This window comes from Homo sapiens, chromosome 3 (assembly GCF_000001405.40).
Source record: "Homo sapiens chromosome 3, GRCh38.p14 Primary Assembly".
NCBI classification, from domain to species: domain Eukaryota; kingdom Metazoa; phylum Chordata; class Mammalia; order Primates; family Hominidae; genus Homo; species Homo sapiens.
The window spans coordinates 14818541-14839149 of NC_000003.12; the positions used below are offsets into that span (position 1 = coordinate 14818541).

Sequence of the window (20609 nt, forward strand, 5' to 3'; positions counted from 1 at the left end):
AAGGGGGGATGTAAGCTCCATGAGGGCAGCAGGGAGGGTGACAGCAAGTTCAGCCTTTTCCCATGGTTGCTGGGTCATAGAAAGTGTTTATCAGTAGCTGCTGGATGAATGAATGCACTGACCTGGACACTTCATTTGAGGAGCACAGGATTTCATTTGGTTGATTTTCGTTAGTTGGGCTGCGTGTAGAAGAAAGGTCTGTTCACTTTGTTTACAGAATGAATCTTTAGTGGAAAATCAAGGGGTTTTAAAGATTCTGGTGGAGGGCATAAGCCTAAGACAAAGCACGGGAGGTGGGCTTCACATGGATGGACGGAACCATCTGTGGCGTCCCCTGCAACTGGTGTGTAGGAGACTCTGAATGGCAATAAAGTTAATTGTACTTTTTCTCCTTTTCTCTATTTTTGTCATCTAGATTCACCAAAACCACCTGTCGCTCCCAAGCCAAAGACTACCAGTCCACTGACGCCAGTGACCGCGCCCAAATTCCCTTCCTCAGCCAGGCCCGAGAGTCTTCACAGTCCAAACTCCATGTTCAGGGGTCCGAAGCCCCCCATTGCCCCCAAGCCCAGGCTGACTGCCCCAAACGAGTGGAGAGCCAGTGTGTACCTGAATGACAGCTTGAACAAATGCAGCAACGGGCGGCTGCCCTGTGTAGACAGGGGGCTTGATGAGGGGCCCCGGTCCATCCCAAAGTGCTCTGAGTCGGAGACCGACGAGGATTACATCGTGGTCCCCAGGGTTCCGCTGAGGGAGGATGAACCCAAGGACGAGGGCAGTGTGGGGAACAAAGCCCTGGTGTCTCCCGAGTCCTCTGCGGAAGAGGAAGAGGAGCGTGAAGAGGGAGGCGAGGCATGTGGCCTGGAGGGTACAGGAGCTGGTGAGGATTCAGTGGCCCCTGCTGCTCCGGGTGCAGGAGCGCTGAGCAGGGAGGGTGAGGAAGGCACAGACCTTGCTCTTGAGGATGAAGGGGAGGGCTGCGCTGATGAGCCAGGGACACTGGAGCAGGTGTCCAGAAGTGAGGAGGAAGAGAAGCTAGTGCAGCCACACAGGGAGTGCAGCCTGGAGGACAGTGGGCCTTGGGCTGGAGAGGGGGTCTTCCAGAGCGACCTCCTCCTGCCTCACATCCATGGAGAGGACCAGGAGCCCCCCGACACCCCCGGGGAGGCAGAGGAGGATGATGAGGAAGGCTGTGCCAGCACAGACCCAGCAGGGGCAGATGAGGGTTCGGGTCCTGACAGGCCCACGGAGGACATGGGACAGGATGCTGAGGACACCAGTGAGGAGCCCCCTGAGAAGGAGGAGCTGGCCGGGGTCCAGGAGGCAGAGACAGCCACAGACTGCCCTGAAGTTCTTGAGGAGGGATGTGAAGAGGCCACGGGTGTCACAGGTGGGGAACAGGTTGACCTCAGTGAACCACCTGACCACGAGAAGAAAACCAACCAAGAAGTGGCAGCCGCCACCCTGGAGGACCATGCACAGGATGAGTCCGCCGAGGAGAGCTGCCAGATTGTCCCTTTTGAGAATGACTGCATGGAGGACTTCGTGACTTCCCTCACAGGAAGCCCCTATGAGTTCTTCCCAACTGAGAGCACCTCTTTTTGCAGCGAGAGCTGTTCTCCTCTTTCTGAATCAGCGAAAGGTTTAGAATCAGAGCAGGCACCAAAGCTGGGGCTGCGTGCGGAGGAGAACCCCATGGTGGGGGCTTTGTGTGGCCAGTGTGGCTCCCTACAGGGTGGAGCGGCCGAGGGTCCCGCAGCCCCTGATGTGGTGGTCGTGCTGGAGGAGGAGGCCTTGGATGATGCACTGGCCAACCCCTATGTGATGGGAGTGGGCCTGCCCGGTCAGGCGGCCCCTGGAGAAGGAGGGCAGGCTGCATCGGACGCCCTGGGTGGTTATGGCTCGAAAGAAGAATTGAACTGTGAGGCAGAGGGTGGCCTGGTTCCCGCGGACAGGAAGAACACCAGCACGAGGGTCCGGCCCCACTCTGGGAAGGTGGCCGGCTATGTCCCAGAAACCGTCCCTGAAGAAACCGGACCTGAGGCGGGCTCGTCAGCCCCTGGCATTGGAGGTGCCGCAGAGGAGGTGGGAAAGACGCTTTTGTCATTGGAGGGGAAGCCCTTGGAAGCCAGCAGGGCCTTGCCAGCAAAGCCCAGGGCCTTTACTTTATACCCTCGGTCGTTCTCCGTGGAAGGCCGAGAGATTCCAGTGTCCGTGTACCAGGAGCCTGAGGGGTCAGGGTTGGATGACCACAGGATAAAGAGGAAAGAGGACAATCTCTCTCTGTCGTGTGTAATTGGCTCCTCTGGGAGTTTCTCCCAGAGAAACCACCTTCCGTCCAGCGGCACCTCCACGCCTTCTTCCATGGTCGACATCCCACCTCCTTTCGACCTGGCCTGCATCACCAAGAAGCCCATCACAAAGAGCTCTCCCTCACTCCTGATCGAGAGCGACTCCCCGGACAAGTACAAGAAGAAGAAGTCATCCTTTAAGCGCTTCCTGGCACTGACGTTTAAGAAGAAGACGGAGAACAAATTGCATGTGGATGTGAACGTGTCTTCCTCTAGGTCCTCTTCAGAGTCCAGCTACCACGGGCCTTCCAGGATTCTGGAAGTTGACCGGAGAAGCCTCAGCAACTCCCCTCAGCTTAAGTCTCGGACTGGGAAGCTCCGGGCTTCTGAATCCCCCTCCTCCCTCATCTTTTATAGAGATGGCAAGAGGAAAGGTGTCCCCTTCAGCAGGACGGTGTCCAGAGTGGAGTCCTTTGAAGACCGCTCCCGGCCGCCCTTCCTGCCCTTGCCACTGACCAAGCCACGGTCCATCTCCTTCCCCAGCGCTGACACTTCAGACTATGAGAACATTCCAGCCATGAACTCGGACTATGAGAATATCCAGATTCCACCCCGGAGACCTGCCAGGGCTGGCGCGTTCACGAAGCTGTTTGAAGATCAGAGCAGAGCCCTGTCCACAGCAAACGAAAATGATGGCTACGTGGACATGAGCAGCTTCAACGCCTTTGAGAGCAAACAGCAGAGTGCAGACCAGGACGCAGAAAGGTACCTGACATTCTATTTCCTTTCTTGTTCGGCAGCTGTAACTGTCCAGGAGGCAGCGTGGGTGTGGGGGACAGATGGACTTGCTTTCCAGCCTCAGGCTCTGTTTCTTACTAGCTGTGTTGACTTGGGGTGAGTGGCTTTATATCTCTGAGCCTCGGTTACTTCATCCGTGAAATGGGACTCATGCTACCTCATGGTAGAGAGTTTAAGAAAATCAGAGTAAGGCCGGGCGCAGTGGCTCATGCCTGTAATCCCAGCACTTTGGGAGGCCGAGGCGGGCAGGTCACAAGGTCAAGAGATCGAGACCATCCTGGTCAACATGGTGAAACCCCGTCTCTACTAAAAATACAAAAATTAGCTGGGCATGGTGGCATGCACCTGTAATCCCAGCTGCTCGGGAGGCTGAGGCAGGAGAATTGCTTGAACTCGGGAGGCGGAGGTTGCAGTGAGCTGAGATCACGCAACTGTACTCCAACCTGGCAATAGAGCGAGACTCTGTCTAAAAAAAATAAAAAAAAAAGAAAAGAAAAAGAAAAAAGAAAATCAGAGTAGATATTCTGTGTGAAAGCAGTGTATAAGATGCCAAATACGGTACATGTGAAAGCATTTTTGTTTACATTATTTGGGAGACAGTTCTCGTTATCTCCTAGGTAGATGGCTTTGCTACTCGCCTCTGAGACAGTCACCAAGACAGAAGGTTCTGGAATCTTGCCAAACTAAATATCTTTCACATCAGGAAAATACCCTAAATTGAGATTGGCACCTTTTTATTGAGTAAATATACACTGTATTCAACAGGGAACTAGAAAAGACTATTTAAATTGTTTAAAGAGCTGATGGTGCCCTGAGCTAAATTACTGAATGGAAGTCTTTAAGAGCTACATCCAAGCTTGTTTTTTTTTTTTTTTAATTGATTCACTTTGGAAGTGAGAGTGAGACACTGAAGTTATTGAACAGCAGTGGGGGTGTTCTGACCTCACCTTCCCAAGACTCTGAATGCCCCTCATTGATCATCCCGAGTGGATAATTGCCAAATCTTGCCATTCCTTATGGAATTGTGGACACAACTTAAAGGTGATGCAGTTTGCCCTGAACCATCCTCATTGTTTGGGGGCACCTGATCTGAATTAACGAGAAACAAAAGTGGTTGTGATTTTAAAAGAAACCCTCTGATTCTTTTCCCTCATGTGCAGAAACTTAAACCAGTCCTACTCAGCTGTTGCTGCTAGGAATTCCTAGGGGACCCGCAGTCTTGACTAGATAAGGATGATTTGCAATTAGCATTAGCTGTTGTTGGAGTAGAGCTGCTAGGAAGTGTTTGCATGGATAATTCTCTTGAGTATTTTGCATGGTTCGCCATCCTGGCTCCATCTTCTCACTATCCCAAGTCTGGGTAAGGCGATTTATTTATTAGTTCTTTCTAAGATGAGAAGATCTGTTTGCCAGAGCAAAGGTAAACACCAGCACAGCCCGAGGGACTGAGTTTAGTTTGGAGAATGTGGACTCGTGCGAGCTGCAAGAGGGGTAGAGAGGCAGAGTCAGCAAGTTCATTACATTAATAACAATCGGCAGGGGTGGACAAGACCCATCCCCCAGCTGAGTGCCTCCTAGCACTGAGGAAAGCAGAACCAAGCTTTACAACAATAAACTCTCCGTGCTGGTCAGAGACCGCCCACCTCTAACAGGTGCTTACCCAGTGTACTTGAAATCCTCCAGCCACAGGGAACCCGTCACTCCCAGAGCTGCCTCATCGGGTGCTGGGTACTCTGATCATGAGGAAGAGTTTCTCTGTGACTGAGGCATATACTGTTCCCCTCTAATATCCCTCCCCTACTCATGGTTCTTCTCTCTCAAGCCAGGTGAGGGAGCTTATTTCATCTTTTTTACAATAGCCCTTCAAAAATTGAAATCTGCCTCTGTAGAATCACAGAGTTTTATAGCTGGAGGAAACTTCAGACACAAGTCCTGTTACAGAAGAGGAAACTGTGACACAGAGAGGAAAAGGCACTTGCGTAAGATCTCTCAGTAAGTTACTGGAGAAATCAGTGTCCAAACCCAGACTTCTTGACTTCTGGATCAGGAATTTGTAGTGAATTATGTGAGGGGATGCCAGGTCTGGTTGTGCAGGCTGCGCATTGTACAATCACAAGAGCAAGTCCTTCACCTTTCATCTATGTATGGTGCCACCTGGGGTGTGCAGTGCACAGGCTGCTTGGCTATATGTGAAGGACCTGTTGCCTTGATCTGTACTTTGTGCAAAAAAACCAAACAAAAAGGACTTTTCATCCGGACAGTTATGACAATAGGGAATAAAATATCTAAGACAACGCTAAAGCTCCTGGATCGTGACTGTTTACTGCGTGCCAAGCACTGTGCTAGGTGCTTTCTTTGCATTAGCTCACGTTTGATGCTACAGCCTAGGGCCTTGGTTGAGTGTCTTGAACTGTCAGACTGAATTTCAAAAGCACGGTTGCACCACTCTGATGCTATTTCGCCAAAGGCCAGACTGACTGGAATAAATCTCCCATACAGGAACCACATCCTCTTGGACATCAGTCAGTGAGCAAAGCTTTCTTCCGCTTTCCTACATGAAACAGATGAAAGCAAAGGGGGAGAAAAATCCCCACTTTGGGCTGGAGCAGGTCTGGGCAAGGGAGGTTTGAGACGCATATCGCCAAGAGGCATGAGTGACTGCCGTGGGGCTGGGGGACCCTGCTTGTTTGCCTGAATAGGGGCTTTGAGTACAGAGTGGAGGGGATGCTGCTGATCTGAGACCTCTGCCTAGGGGTGCTTGGGGTTGGACGGGATGAGAGGGTGGGGAGGCAGTTCCTTCCTCCGCCTGCTACTTGTCCTGCCCCATACCTTGCTATAGTGTGAGGATTAGAGGCAGAAGCCAAAATAAATACCCATAGCCCTGACTGAAGGGCAGGTCAGTGCTCCAGACATGGATTCAAAGCCTAAGGTCCCAACACTTGTTATGGGACCTTGGAAGAGGCTGGGCCGCAGTTTGCTCATCTGTAAAATGGTAAGGTTGGAGCAGTTGTGTATTTCTCAACCATTCACCTTTCCTGGACTTCATTTACCATTTCCATTATACTGCCTATACTTTGACTCATTACTTTTCTTTAAATCAGCCCATCTTTTTTATTTAGAAAAATGTAATGGAAACTTTTTCTCACTATTGGGAAATGGAAAAACAGTATCAGTTGCCGTAAATAGAAGGCAATTGTAAAAATAAGATAGAACGGTAAAACAACATGGGTAAAGACTAGCTTGAGGTGATTCCTTGCCAAGGCTAGGAGCTGGAAGCCTGATCTCTTTGTTAAACAGGGAGAGGTGTTAAAGACATGCTTGCACCACACAGAGACTTTCTACCTGGCAAAACCAGAAGAATCCAAAAGGACTAAGAAGGGAAGTGATTCAGTGTTATTTAAAATCCAAGCCCTTTTTCTGCTAAAAGTATCTCCCTTCAAGAAACAGCATATAATAGAATTCAGAGAGCCCTTAGCGACCCTGAAACTGGGTGAGTAGCAGCTCAGGGTCTAATGGATGATTGTAAAGTTTCTTCTGTGTAGTTACTTCCTTTGAGATTTGCATAGATAGTAGCATGTTAGTAGCTATAGTAATACTGTTAACAGTCTTTTATAAATTTATTACCTATGTCCATTTTTTTCAATGGTATACAAAAGAAGGTTTTATCATTCTTTAGTTTAAAATGTATACCTGGGCTGAGTGCAGTGGCTTACGCTTGTAATCCCAGTGCTTTGGGAGGCCAAGGCAGGAGGATCACTTGAAGCCAGAAGTTTGAGACCAGCCTAGACAACATAGTGAGACTCCCATCTCTACATATACACTCCCATCTCTACATATATATATATATATGTACACACGCACACGTGTATAAATAGCCGGGCATTGTGGTACGCACCTGTAGTCCCAGCTGCTCAGGAGGTTGAGGCGGGAGGATCACTTGAGCTAGGAATTTCAGGCTGCATTGAGCTGTCATCATGCCACTGCACTCCAGCCTGGCTGACAGAGCAGACCCTGATTCAAAAGAAAAATGAAATGAAATGTATCCCTGAAGCATTCTTTGTTCCCTGAATTGATGCTCACTTAAAAAAAAAAAGTTTTCAGCAGAGATCTAGTCCAACACCCTTAGTTTCCAGATAGGCTGTCTTATGTCCTAAGTCACTGACCAGTAGTCTTGGCGTGGGGAACCCAGTCTTCACCTCCGAATATCCTATAGCACCCTGATATGTTGGTTACACACTAGAAGCTTAATAAATGTATACTGATGAGTTGGTGATTTTGAGCTTCACAAGGGGAAAGAAATATCATTTATTAAATACCTGTTTTTAGCAACACAGTGCTGGATGCTTTGTATACAGTTATTACATACCTGTTTTATGCAAAACATGACACAGACTCACTTGTCCTAAATATCTCATTTAAATCTTCATCATCATATGTTTGTGTTTTGCATGATAGCAGTCAGCATTATACATCAGCACAGATCCCTGAGGCCACTTTTCCCCAACATTTTGTTATGAAAATGTTCAAAAAGTTAAGAGTTTTAGTGTGAACACCCATGTGCCCAGCACCCAGATTATACCGTGCACATGTTGCTGCACTGGCTTTCTCTCTCTCTCACTCGCTCTCTCTTTCTTCCTCTCCCTCCCTTTCTCCCTCTCTCCCTCTCCTCTTCTTCCCCTCTTCTCCTCTGCCCCTCTCCCCACTGCCCTCATCCATTAGTGCATGTTGTTCTTGACACATTTATGGTAGCTTTTTCTGTTTACAGATGAGGACACCGTGGCCCGAGGAGAGCCTGTGAAAGCACCACAGCTAAGCTCATAGGCTTTGGAGCCAAGCTGCCTGGGTATTGGTCTACACTTATTGTCTATGTGACCTAGAACAAGTTTCTGACCTCTCTGTACCTCAGTGTCCTTATCTGTAAAAGGAGACGATCATTGTACCTGCCTTGGAATGTCATTAAGACTACAGGAGTTAATACGGTACATGGTAAAATGATCAGTAAGCATTAGCTGTTATTAAGTGACATGACCGAGGTCACATAGTGGTGGATGCAGGATTTGAATTTGATTCCTGAGGCATGGAACCTGGGAGGGAGAATCTCGTTCCTCTTGCTGTGTATTTCTGTCTGTCTGTCTGTCTCTCTCACACACACACACACAACGACTGTTCTGCATGGGTTTGACTTAACGTTTAGGGCTTTACATCACATCAGTAAAACCAGGATCATGAATTTGCAAGCTTTTGCCATAGGATGTGGCATGAACTGTACCTCTGACTTCCCATGAGATGGGTTCAGGGCTGCAGGCAACATCTGAGCAATATTGATTTGGAGTCATTAGCTGCCTCGTACACCAAAGACAGCAAGACTAGGGGTTTTATGATTCCATAATCATAATAAAACTGCCTGTCTCTATTATTATGACTGTATTTGTTATTTCATTTATAACTTACAGTTAGTTAGGTAGGAATTTCCAGCTCCCATTTTCCAGGTGAGAAAACAGGCTTGGTGACATGACATGAACTCTCTTCTGTCACATGGATGATAAGTGGCCAAACCAAGGTCAGAACCCAAGTCTGTCTGACTTTCAATCCAATGCTGTTTCCACTACTACCTGTTTTCTGTGGTCGCAAATTGCCACATTTCTGGTATTCTTTTTTTTTTTTTTTTTTTTTTTTTGAGACGGAGTCTCGCTCTGTTGCCCAGGCTGGAGTGCAGTGGCGCGATCTCGGCTCACTGCAAGCTCCGCCTCCCAGGTTCATGCCATTCTCCTGCCTCAGCCTCCCGAGTAGCTGAGGCGCCCGCCACCATGGGTGGCTAATTTTTTGTATTTTTTAGTAGAGACTGGGTTTCACCATATTAGCCAGGATGTTTTCTGGTATTCTTAATCCAAACCTGTTGAGTGTCCTGCTTGCAAGAGACAGGGTGGCACAGCCACCCCCAAAGTGTTAACATTGCTTATTGGTCCAGGAGACTCAAGGAAAAGTGAAAGGACACCTTTCTTTTCTGCTGGCTGGTGGGTTTGTCGCTCTGTTGGCAACTCATCAATAAGACGAGCTTTCCTGGAACTTGCTAATGAGGTACTCAGATGTCTTTCCCTCCTGCAGGCCACAGTGGGTACCCCTGCCCTTGTGTGGCCAGCTGTGCCTGAGGAGCAACCAGAAGTTCTCGGTTTGGAGCATGCCGTCTGTTTGGAATGGAATGCTCATTAGGAGAACCTCAGAAGATTCTACCCGCCCGGGGCAGCAGCTCATGAGTGCTTGTGCATTGCAGACAGAGCAGTTAAGGATTCTGCTCCGCCAGCCCAGGGTTGTTACAGAGCTGCTTATGGTTGAAATGCAGCTCGAATTACATGCCCAGGAGTTTGTGTTTGGGCCACGTTGTGCAGCATGCGTATGAGGAGAGGGAGCAGGAAGACCCAGGAGAGTGAATGTGTTGGCTAACTGGTGATGGTTGTTTGTGAAATGACTCATTTTGGGCAAGGATTGCATGGAGTGATGTGTGGAAGGAGAGAGAGGGGGACCAGGTACCACTGCTGGCCTCAGTGGACTGAGAGTCTGGGGGTAGGAAGAGGACTTAGACCCAAGTCACTGAAATGCAAGGTAGAAAAGGCCCAGGACCCAAAGAGTAGGAGTCCAGAGGCGGGCAGGATGTCTTCATGGACAAAGTGGCACTTGAGTAGACATTGCAGGAAAAGTAGGCTTTTGACATGGAGGCAGGAGAAAGAGGAGAGAACGTACAAGAAATAAGACTCCAATGAAAATGTCTTCCTTCATTCAGAAGGTACCTCAATACCTTTATTCTGGAAAATAGGTCACATCATCTGCAGACAGGGAGGAGGATTATATGGAGGAGATGGGGTTGAAAGGCTTGAGGACTAAACACAAATACCATCTCTCTCTCATTTCTGAGTGTAACAGTAGGACATTGTGAGTGAGCCTAGCCAGTTCCCTCACTCAGTCCGCTAGCGTTCCCGGAGTATCTGCTGGTTGTCTGTGCTGTTCTAGGTAGTAGAGGTACTCAAATCCCTGCCCTCTGGAGTTTTTAGGCTGGCTGAGGAGAAAGATGGATAGAGAGGCAATTAGAGCCTAGGGTGATAAAGTGATAAAGCTTGGTTAGTGGTATATCCAGTTGGCTATGGAGTGGGCAGTAGGGGAGCCTTCAGTATCTGTAGGACATTTGAGGTGGGTCTCTTTTTTTTTTTTTTTTTTTGAGATGGAGCCTCATTCTGTTGCCTGTGCTGGAGTGCAATGGCATGATCTTGACTCACTGCAACCTCTGCCTCCCAGGTTCAAGCAGGGGATTACAGGCACTCATGACCTTGCCTGGCTAATTTTTGTATTTTTAGTAGGGATGGGGTTTCACTATATTGGCCAGGCTGGTCTTGAACTCCTGACCTCTGGTGATCCACCTGCCTCGGCCTCCCAAAATGTTGGGATTACAGGTGTGAGCCACTGCGCCCGGCCAAGGTGGGTCTTGATGGGGAGCAGGAGTTCATGATGGAGACAGTCCAGGAAGAGAAAAAGCCTGCGCTTGAGTCTGGAGAGTCGAAAGGATCTTGGAGTGTTCAGCTGGAGCTTAGGTGCATGGAGTTGGGAAGGCAGGGTGGGCCCAGTTGAGAACGCCTTGTATATCAGTGTGACAAGTGTGTACGCCATCCCCTGGGCAGGGGGGAGTCCATAGTGATTTTCAGCAGGGGAACGCCGTCGTGTGGGTGGTGCATTGCATGGATACTTTGCTGGCAGGTGGAGAACGGAGGGGATGGAGGGATGGGAAGCTGGGAGATTCGTGAAGAGATGGTTGTAGTGGTCCCCTTAAGAGAGGATGACCAACCTGGGGCTGTGGCTGCAGCCAGGGGAGGAGTGGTGTTCTGCCACCAGGATGTACACAGCAACCCTAGTTCTCCAGCGTTGATGAACTCCAGGGCTAGATTGCATCTGCCTTTGCATTTCTCTTTTCATTCTTTTGTCTTTTACAGTCTGGTCCCAAATAAAAGATTTGAGTTGGTTTCCAGTAAAAGACATAGCAAGAAATAATAGGAATTCAGTCTTTAAGAGTAAAGGAGACAAGCCGAGTAATGAAGTTGGGGGGAGGTCATTGTATGGGCCATCCAGACCGAGAATAGCGACTGCCATTGCAGTTCTGGAATCTAGCGCAAAATCTAGCATAAGCATCCCCTCCTTCCTCCTCCCCACCTGTCAGTGCACCCCCAGATTCCTTAGAATGCATAAATATTTTGCTGAAGTGATTCTCTAAGAGAGTGAAACCTGACTTTTATGTATTTTTTTTACTACCGTAGACAGCGCTGCAGCAACAAATAACACATCCTTGTAAAACCAAGGTGATTTACAGCCTCAGCTATCAATGCTCGGTGGGAATGTGACAGAGTTGCAGCTAAGCCTCCTGCTGACTGGTTCCATTGGTGCTGAGAGCCGCGTGGCTGGATTTTTGGCATATCCTAGCTGTGGTATTCACTGGTATCTTTATATCTGCCTGTAAGCCAGGAGCCTTCCTGTTATTATGTTTTTGACAAATGAACTCATGCAGAGCTTTCATTAAGTTTCATTGAAAGGACCTAGAAATGCCATGAAAATTATTATAATCTCAAAACCATCACATCCTAATGCATGTGGCTGTGCTTCTTGTTGAAATTGACTGATGAGAATACTCAGTTTTTAATTTTCTGACTTAAAATAAGACCATCTGCAGCTGTTTCTTTTAGCAATAATTTTTAATTAAATGCAATAAAATTTACAGGGAAGGACCCTAATAAGAAAATCGTGTCAGGAACGCACTCATTGTAACATTACTAGCATGATATTAAGACCCCCAACTATTTTTTTTACCTTGCAGAGCTGTAATGTAGATAAGATCCTGATTAAGTGTTAATCACAATGTGGTTTTACCTTCATAAAATCAGGGTTTCTCCCCGTAGGAGGTGTGAATATAATTCTCGCTAATAGAAGAGAGTCTTATTGTTGGAGTTCTTCGGTGAAATGTCAGCAGCAGGTCTCCTTGACCAGCTGAGCCCCAGAAGAGGAGTGAAGTCTTTGTTCCAGCTTGAGTCTGGATTTCCTTGAGGTATTTGGGCCTCACTTTCCCCAGCTTTTCAAATGGGGATGAGGCTGTCAGGCATAGCATGCAGCCAAAGAGGAGAGTTGTGTTGGTAGTCCATGCATTCCTTGAGGACAGATGTGTATCAGGTACCTATTCTGAGCCGGGTGCTGCTCTCTGAGCTCCACATACAGCAGTGAACAGACTCCTTGTGCTGGGGAGAGGCAGACAGTAAACAGACTAGTAAGTGAACACGATAATTATAGTTTATGGAAAAGAAGAATAAAAAAATCAATGTGATACAAAGTGACTGGTGGAAGACACACTTTAGACAGGGTGATCAGGGAAGGCTTCTCTGAAGAGGTGAACTTGAGTGAAACGTGAAGGATGATCAGACATCCCAAGGGGAAGGGCATCCGAGGCAGAGGGAATAGCAGGAGCAAAGGCCCTTTGTGCTGAGGCTGGAGGCCTTTGTGGGGTTCGTAGAGAGGTAAGGAGGCCAGTGTGGGTGGAGTGCAGAAGGCGATGGGAAGTCGGGTAGGCAGGGACCTTGTGAAAGATTTGGATTTTACTTGAAAGAGATGCCATTGGAGAGAAGTGTTACGATCCAAAGATACTTGAATTATCTAAGCACTTCAGATCATTTCTCTGGACTTGTATGTTTAGGGTAGGATCAGCAAGTAGTTCAAAACTGTAGCTAAGAGTATTTGCCCTTCCAAGTGGTTCTTGGGGTGTAGAGAGGCTTGGATTTAGATTGCAAGTCTTCATCAAGCTGTGTGATTTTTAAGCGGCTGGGTCTCAGGCTGCTCTCCCACCCATGACTGCTCTGGAGTGGTTTGGAACCAGTGGCGCTGAGGTCCCCCATCTGAGTGCTCTTCCCAGAAGACCATGCTAGTCCAGGGAACCAAGAGGAGACTGGCCCAGCCACACCAGAGGGAGGGTAGGAGGGAATAAGGTTGGGAAGGCTCTTGAAAAGGAGTGTGTTGAATTTGGATTTGTACCTCCAGGTGAACTGATTTGATCCGTAAGCAGTAGGGAGCTATTCAAAGTTTTAGAGCAAAGGGTGGGAGGTGCCAAGATCAGCTAGTACTCTAGTACAATTATTGTCAGCTGTGTGGGGTGAAGAAGCCACTACAGAAAGGTGCCCGAACATCAAGGGGTCAAGACATGACAACAGGCTTAGCTTCTTGTTCGCCTGTGTAGTGTGGTGGCCTTCCAGCTGTGGCTGCAACACAGTGGCTCAGTGCAGAATAAACCAGAGCTCTTGCTAGTCTGGAACTTCCCAGTGTCACGGTTCTCAGAGTGGTCAGTGATATTTGGTGGACACAGATGGCAGAACCAGAGAGGCAGCATGGCACAGCAAAAAGAGAGAATGAGCTCAAGTCTACCTCCACCCTGACCCCGCCCTCTGATCTGAGCCCCGGTTTTCTCACCTGTACAAGTGGTGGCGACGGTCTCTTCATCACTGAGCACCGTGAGGAGTCTGAGAGATAATGCAGACACCAGGGCTGAGTCAGGTCTTCAAAAAGAATATTGTCAACCTTGTACTTTCTGCTGGGAGCTGAGGCAAACAGACACTTTTACGTAAGAGGCTTCATAGAGCTCTCCCTGCACCAGGTGTTGTCACAGACCGTTTGTATGTGTTAACTCAATTCATCTGAAAAACCACCCTGAGACATAGATGCTGTTTTTTTGTCTGTACTTAGCAGATCAGAAAACTAGGGTGTAAAGAGGTTAAGGTGAGGACTTAAGGTCACACAGCTGGTCAGCAACGGAGCGAGAATTTTAACCCAGGCAGTTTCCAGCACCCAGGCTCTCAGCTCTGCTGTGTGGTTCCTTCTTTATGTGCCTCATTGTGTGCAATTTGCTGAACGTCCCTTTGGGCATAGTTATCCAGTTTTATTTTTTTAATAGAAGAGAAAACTGAGGTTCAGAGTGGCGGCATGACTTTTAAGCCAGTAAGAATGATGGAGGTAGGACCAGAGGGAGGATGTCTATAGGAATGGTTCTTGCCTCTTTCTAGTTCATCCCTTTGAGAGCTTCCTGACTCTCCAGCTGTCAAATAAGGGTACACAGTAGAGTACGAAACTTCAGGATGGAAATTTTCTTAATGCAGGTGTTCAGACTTGGACAGCCTACAGAGACTGTCCATTTGCCTGGGTTCACATGGCCAGGGAATGATGAAAAACTGTAGAGAAAAAGAACGGCACACACTATTGCAGTAACAAAGGGACAATCTTATGCAGAAGGTTTACGCTTCCTTAGATTGCCTGGCTATGCTCGGGATTGGCCCTTGGAGAATTTATTATCCGTGCTTATAATACTCAGGGTCAGCAGGACAATAAACTAATAATAATTTCTGAGCGACGAATTAATGTGTTTCATCTCGTTTCCTGAGAATGCCCCAAGACTGTCCAGCCTTCCACAGATGAAGGCAGCCACTGAGCCATGTGTCGGGGAATTCCGAGCTTGCATCTAAGAATTGTGGTGTTTCCCTGTGTTGGAGAGGCCTGATCTTTGGCTGTTTTCTGGCAAGATGAGTGTCTCCGAGTTGAGGTTGTTTTTCGGGATGATGTGACTGGTCTCTATGTAAACAGACCCATTCTCTGCATGCACAGGGTTGGGTTAGAGCCCTGGATAGGGCCCAAAATCTCCAGGTCAAGGCATAACCCAAGAACTTGAAGTTTGAGGCTTTCTTGTAAGATTTTAATTAAGAAAACGACACACGCACACATTAAACGATTCTATCTTACAGAATCTGCTCAGGAACCTCCTCTGATACAGTGAGACTTTCTCGCACTGAGAGATGTGTCCAGCAGGGTAGTCTTGTAAGGTAGTGAGCTCCCCATCATGATCAGTAATTAAGCACATGAGGCTTGCACAGGCCAGGAAGTTTGAGCTCTTGGGGTCATTTTTGGCTGGCAGATAGCATCCTGAGGAAGCAGGTGGTCCGCTATAGATACTGCCTCAATGATCCCTGAAGGGTTTCCAGACCCCAAGGCTGGAGAGGCCCGAGGTGACCAGAGGAAGATCCAGTACCAGCTCTGAGGCCAGTTCTAAAAGGCCCCTCCTGGCACAGTGCAGCAGGGCTTTCATGAAGAGTGCCCGCTTCATCCAGATCCTCTGAAATGCTGGAAGACACACCTGCCGACAAGCAGCCTCAGAAGGCAGCAGCCCCTGGGTGCTGGTGTGTGAAGTCTGCCTGGGTGTGAAGTCCTGCCTGAGTCAAGGGCCTGGCCAGGTAGAAGGGGTGGGAAGGGTGGTTATGGGGTCCTCCTTGGGGTTCCCTCCCATGCTTAATCTTGGTGGTTTTCTCAGTTTCTGTTGCAGCGGGATACTTTTTCAAATCTTACTTGGAACCCCAACATAGAAACCAAGGGTCTGTTATTGTAATTCTTTTTCATAAGTTCAAGTTTTTAACAATGAATAGGATGCCAATTAATGAGATTGTCATGGTGGATAGAAGTCTTGAAAATTGGGAGTTACGGATTGCAGTGCTGCCCGAAGAGCCTGCTGAGGGGCAATGATTTTGTGAAGTAGTATATTATGGGAGAATGCATTCTCTTAGAGTCAGATGGCTGAGTTCAAATCCCAGCTCTGCCACTTACTAGCTGTGTGTCCTTGGGCAAATTACCTAACCTCTCTGTGCCTCAGTCTCTTCATCTGTTAGAAGAGGGGAAATGACACTAGATAGCTACCTCAAGGAGTTATTGTGAGGACTGAATGAGTTAATGCTTGCAAAGAATTTAGTAAGAGCCTGGCAGTTTGCAAGTGCTCACTGCACTGGAGCCGTTATTACTAACACTATAGCACTGTCTGTATCCATGAGATTCAAACTAGACATTCATGAGTCCTCACTCACAGGAGCCTAGGGTTTCTGAGGAATGCAGTTTGAACACCCTACGTCATCTCACATAGTCGGGCTTTTGATAAGAGCTATCTGTCAGGTATACATATTTGTAAGTCTTTTTTACCAATAATTTAATCAGACGTTTGCAGAACCCTGTGCCACACACAGTAGGGGAGGTGGAAAATGGCTCCTGTTCATTTTTTGTTCTGTAGAGGGAGAGAAGCCACAGGCGGGGCATGTAAGAAGCAGTTTAAGGGGTAAATAGCTTTTGGATCTTAAATTCCTGGGTTGTATTTTGTCCCTTGCCTTCTATTTTACAAGAACGGAAATGAAGTTAACAATGTAAATGGTGAAAGAAGCAAGCTTCAGCAGACCCCGCGATCTGCCACTGCATTATATGTGATATCATTAATCCTCCCAACCGCCGTGCAAGACCAGGATCATCAGCCCCATTTTACAGGCAGGAAAACTGAGGCTTTGAGACATCACATGGCAGAGGAGGCAAACAGACAGTCCGAAATCCCAGAGCAGGCCCCACAAGGCACACACAAGGACCCAGCGGTGCTTTCCCCTGGCAAGCGTTGCCCCCGCCTTAGGAAATGGCGAGCCACTCTCACAGTGGGTGTGCACAGAGAGGCCAGGTGAGCAGGGAGGCTGTCCTGCGGGTCAGAAAGCTGGACTACAGGCAGGGCGAGGTGGCTCACGCCTGTAATCCCAGTACTTTGGGAGGCTGAGGCAGACAGATCACCTGAGGTCAGGAGTTTGAGACCAGCTGGGCCAACATGGTGATGCCCCATCTCTGCTAAAAATACAAAATAATTAGCCTGGTGTGGTGGTGCATGCCTGTAGTTCCAGCTGCTTGGAAGGCTGAGGCACAAAAATTGCTTGAACCTGGGAGGTGGAGGTTGCAGTGAGCCGAGATCACGCCACTGCACTCCAGCCCGGATGACAGAGTGAGACTCTGTCTCAAAAAAAAAAAGAAAAGAAAAGAAAAGAAAGCTGCACTACAAAACCCAGAAAGCTCAGGAGGTCGTGAAACCTTAACGTAGCCGCCGCATACTTGTGCACTGCACTTTACAGCTTACAAAGCTTTTTTCTCCCAGTAAGCACCCTTTGGAAAAGGGAAGACACCAGTTACAGCAAAATTTAAGCAAAGACTTGAAGAAGAACAGGGAGAATTCAGGCAGTTATTTTCCTTGCAAGGCCATGGGTGAGCCGTTTTCTAGAATGCCTCTCAGTTCCTTGACTGTAAAATGGAGATAACAGGTGGTGGCAAGTGTGCAGTGGCTAAGAACCCATGCCAGTTGCTTGGTGCAGGGTCTGGCCTGCAGAAGGTTCTCAGCGAAGGTTCTTGGTAATTGTTATTTTGATTGTACCTGATATGAAGAAGGGATCAGAGGAGGGCAGGAAAAGGGGCCTCTGAAAGACTGAGGGTCTGGGAAATACCAGGGAAGGGGCAGAGATGAAGAGCAGAAAGGAACTCGAGGCTCCAGAGCGCTGTCCAGGATCACATAGCTGGCAGGTGGCAGAGTCAGACGTAGAACCCAGGGGCATCTGCTGTGAAGCCTCCATGCCACATGTTGCACAAGGAGCCGTGGTGAGAGCACGGAGACCCTGGGGCTGACCTGGGTCAGGGTGTGGCAGGCCATGACCCCAGTCCTGCTCTGAGGGATAACAAGAGAGAAGGGTGATGTCATATGGCGAGAGATTGTTCTGGGCCACGCTCCCCGCCCGGGAAGCTCCTTGTAGATGCTGCATCTGGTTTCCAGGGAGGTCCCTGGTTCAAGCCCAAGTTTGCTTGCCGGCTGGAGGCCAGAGGTCAAGGCTGGGTTCAGAGCTGCAGAGTGAGTCAATGGCTTAGCAACATCAGAGAACTTAGGCAGCTGCTCAGCCTCTGGGGTGAGGAGACCTGCCTGGTCCCCAAACGCAAATGGTCTCCAGACTCCAGGAGGCCCTGAGGTCTGCATTCAGCAGCACCGTGAGTGAGGAGAGTTCATGCTTTGCCAGCCTTTGCCCGACTTTTGAGTTTTCTCTGGCTCTCCTGTGTTCCTCAGCCTTGAGGGTGGGAGGTTCAGGATTCCACCCAGGCTGTCTGAACCCCCTCATTTACAGAGGAGAAACCTGAGGCCAAGAGGGGAAGAGAGAAGTGCTGGGACTTGGTTCCTTGAGTAACCAAGTGGCCACCCTCAGAAAGGCCCAGGAGAGAGATGGGAGAGGCAGACCCCGATTGCTGATGAGATGTGATTAAAATAAATATGATAGGAAAGTGAGCAATATTCTGGCAGCACAGAAGGAGCAGCCACGTGCTTTGAAGAAGAGGCCTCCCTGAGGCACTCGCAGGGTTAACATGGACATTTGAGCAGGGCTCAAAGGGCGAGTAAGAATTTGCGACCTGAAGAAGGGAAGGAAGGACATTCCAAATGGAAGGGACAGTGGGGACCACATGCACAGAAGCACCCGGGTATAAGGGACCTAGGGTGCACCAAGACCAAGGACACACACACAGTGACCAGACTGCAGCAGGGAGGGACAGAAAGGAGGTGAGAGTTCAAGCCCCAAGCTTGAGGGTGTGAAGTGCAGAGAGTCAAAACAGAGGCTGAGAGTGTTGGTCAGCGGTGGTGCCAAGACTCCCAGCCTGGGGCCCTGCGTGCCCTTGCCATCTTTATTGGCGTGTCCCTGACTCTTTCAGCCCTCACTGAAACTATTTGAGGTTAAATAGGAGGCTGCTGTCTCCATGGCTGGAGAAGGGGAAGGTGTGAGTGTAACAAGGTCTTTTGAGGCTGGAGTTTGGCTTGCCTGTAACCCCAGGAGGGGCGGTTGCTCAGTTCACGGAGCAGTCATTCATTATCCAGTTGCTTCTAATCCACCATTCCTTGGTGACAGGCAGAAATTAGTTTCCTTCGAACCTGCTAATTAGAGCTAACGGTTGCGGGGGCTGGGGGGGATGTATTTGGATGGCATTGGCTGGAGGACTAGCCTTCTCTAGGTTTTGCGGCTTTTCAGAATCCTGCATCTGTCCTCACTCTTTGGCCTGAGGACTACCGGGTTTTTGTATAAAGCCCAGCTCTGTGTGGATCCTGCTTCTCCCACGGAGAGGGGGATAGGCTGCGAAGTATTTGCAGGCTTTCTGAATCAGCAGTGATTATGCTCATCCACAAAAGTGCTCACGGTGTTCCACAGTTGGGTTTTGGGCTTAGAGCCCTGAGTCTCTAAGCGTGGAACTGGCCCAGAAAAGGCTCTTTGCTCTCTGCCTCTTGCTGTGTAGCCTTTTTCTTGTGTTTCTTTTTCGGGGCCTCGGTTTCCCCAGAAATGAAGTGATGAGCTAAGTGATTTCGTAGGGCTGTTCTGAGTCTGACGTGACATACTTATTTTCCGTTGCTGCCATGGCAATTTGCCATAAATTTAGTGGCTTAAGACAACATCTGTTTTTCATCTCCCAGCTCTGTGGGTCAGCAGTCTAGTGGGCTCAGCTGGGTCCTTTACTGAGGGTCTCAGGAGGCCAAAGTCAGGGTGTGGGCTGGCCTGGGCCCTCATCTAGAGACTGTGGGGAGATTCCAGGCTGTGCCCATTCAGGTCACTAGCTGACGTCCACTCCTGTGGGACTGAGGGCCCTGCTTCCCTGTTGGCTGTCACGGGGCTGATCTTTGCCCTGGCTGCAGCCTGCACTCCTTCCCCTGTTTTCTGCATGGACTTCTCCAGTAATGGCGGGTTGTGAGTTGACTCTTTCTCGTGCTCTGAATCTGACTCCAGGCAAGTTCTCTGCTTCTAAGGACCTGTGTGATTAGATTGGGCCCACCCAGATAACCAAGGGTAATCTCCACGTTATAACCTTCACAACCTTAAGTACGTCTGCAAAGCCCCTTTTGCTAAATGATGCAGAATATTTGTAGTTTCCAGGATTAGGGAGTGGACATTTTGAGGGCTTTGATTCTGCCTATTACAGTCTTTGATTCTGCCACTGCCATCTGACCCCCCAGTGATTCAGGTCTATCCCAAATGCAAAATATATTCAGTCCATCCCAAGGTCCCCAGAGGTCTCATCCTGTGACAGCATCAGCTCAACAAATCTTATTTGAATCTTGTCAGCTCAGAAGTCCTAAGTCCCATTATTTAAATCCAGTATTGGGTGAGGTTCTGGGTATGACCCATTCTGGCATAATTCCTCTCCATCTATGACCCTGGGAAGCTAAAGAAATAAGTTATCTGCTCTTGAAATATAATGGGACCAGTTATAGACTTCCAGTCCAAACAGGGAGAAAATGGAAGGTAAAACAAAGTCAGATGACATTGCTGGGGCCTCACATCCCTCTCTCCCAAAACTATAGGGAGAAAATGCAATAGAACCAGCAGTTTCCTACCCCCTCTGCCCCCTCCTTACCTCTGTGGGCATTCACTGGCTACAAGTCCACCTGTTATATTCTGGCCCTGTCTTTGGGGTCTTAGGAATACACAGTTGCACAGCTTTGTACCAGTGGGTTAGAAACAACAGGAAGTTTAATTGAAATGCAGCAGAAGGGATCTAGGTTGAAAGGGTAGTGTTTGATTTGAAAAGGGTTTGTTAGCACCAAGAAAGGAAAAGCACATGCTTCCAGCACCTCCTGTCTGTTTCTCAACACTA

At 48.7% G+C, this 20609-nt stretch overlaps 1 protein-coding gene across 6 annotated transcripts in view; it reads left to right on the forward strand.

The window, feature by feature from the left end:
* Positions 1 to 20609, forward strand: part of FGD5 (FYVE, RhoGEF and PH domain containing 5) — a 123884-nt gene that overhangs the window by 7853 nt on the left and 95422 nt on the right. For 4 of the 6 annotated variants that reach the window (XM_011533422.2, XM_011533423.2, XM_047447514.1 and 1 more), the window contains exon 2: positions 416 to 3056. In XM_011533422.2, the coding sequence (XP_011531724.2) occupies positions 416 to 3056 (2641 nt within the window). Of the gene's footprint in view, positions 1 to 415; positions 3057 to 20609 lie in introns of those variants that run through there. The other 2 variants (NM_152536.4, NM_001320276.2) reach the window with 1 other exon arrangement.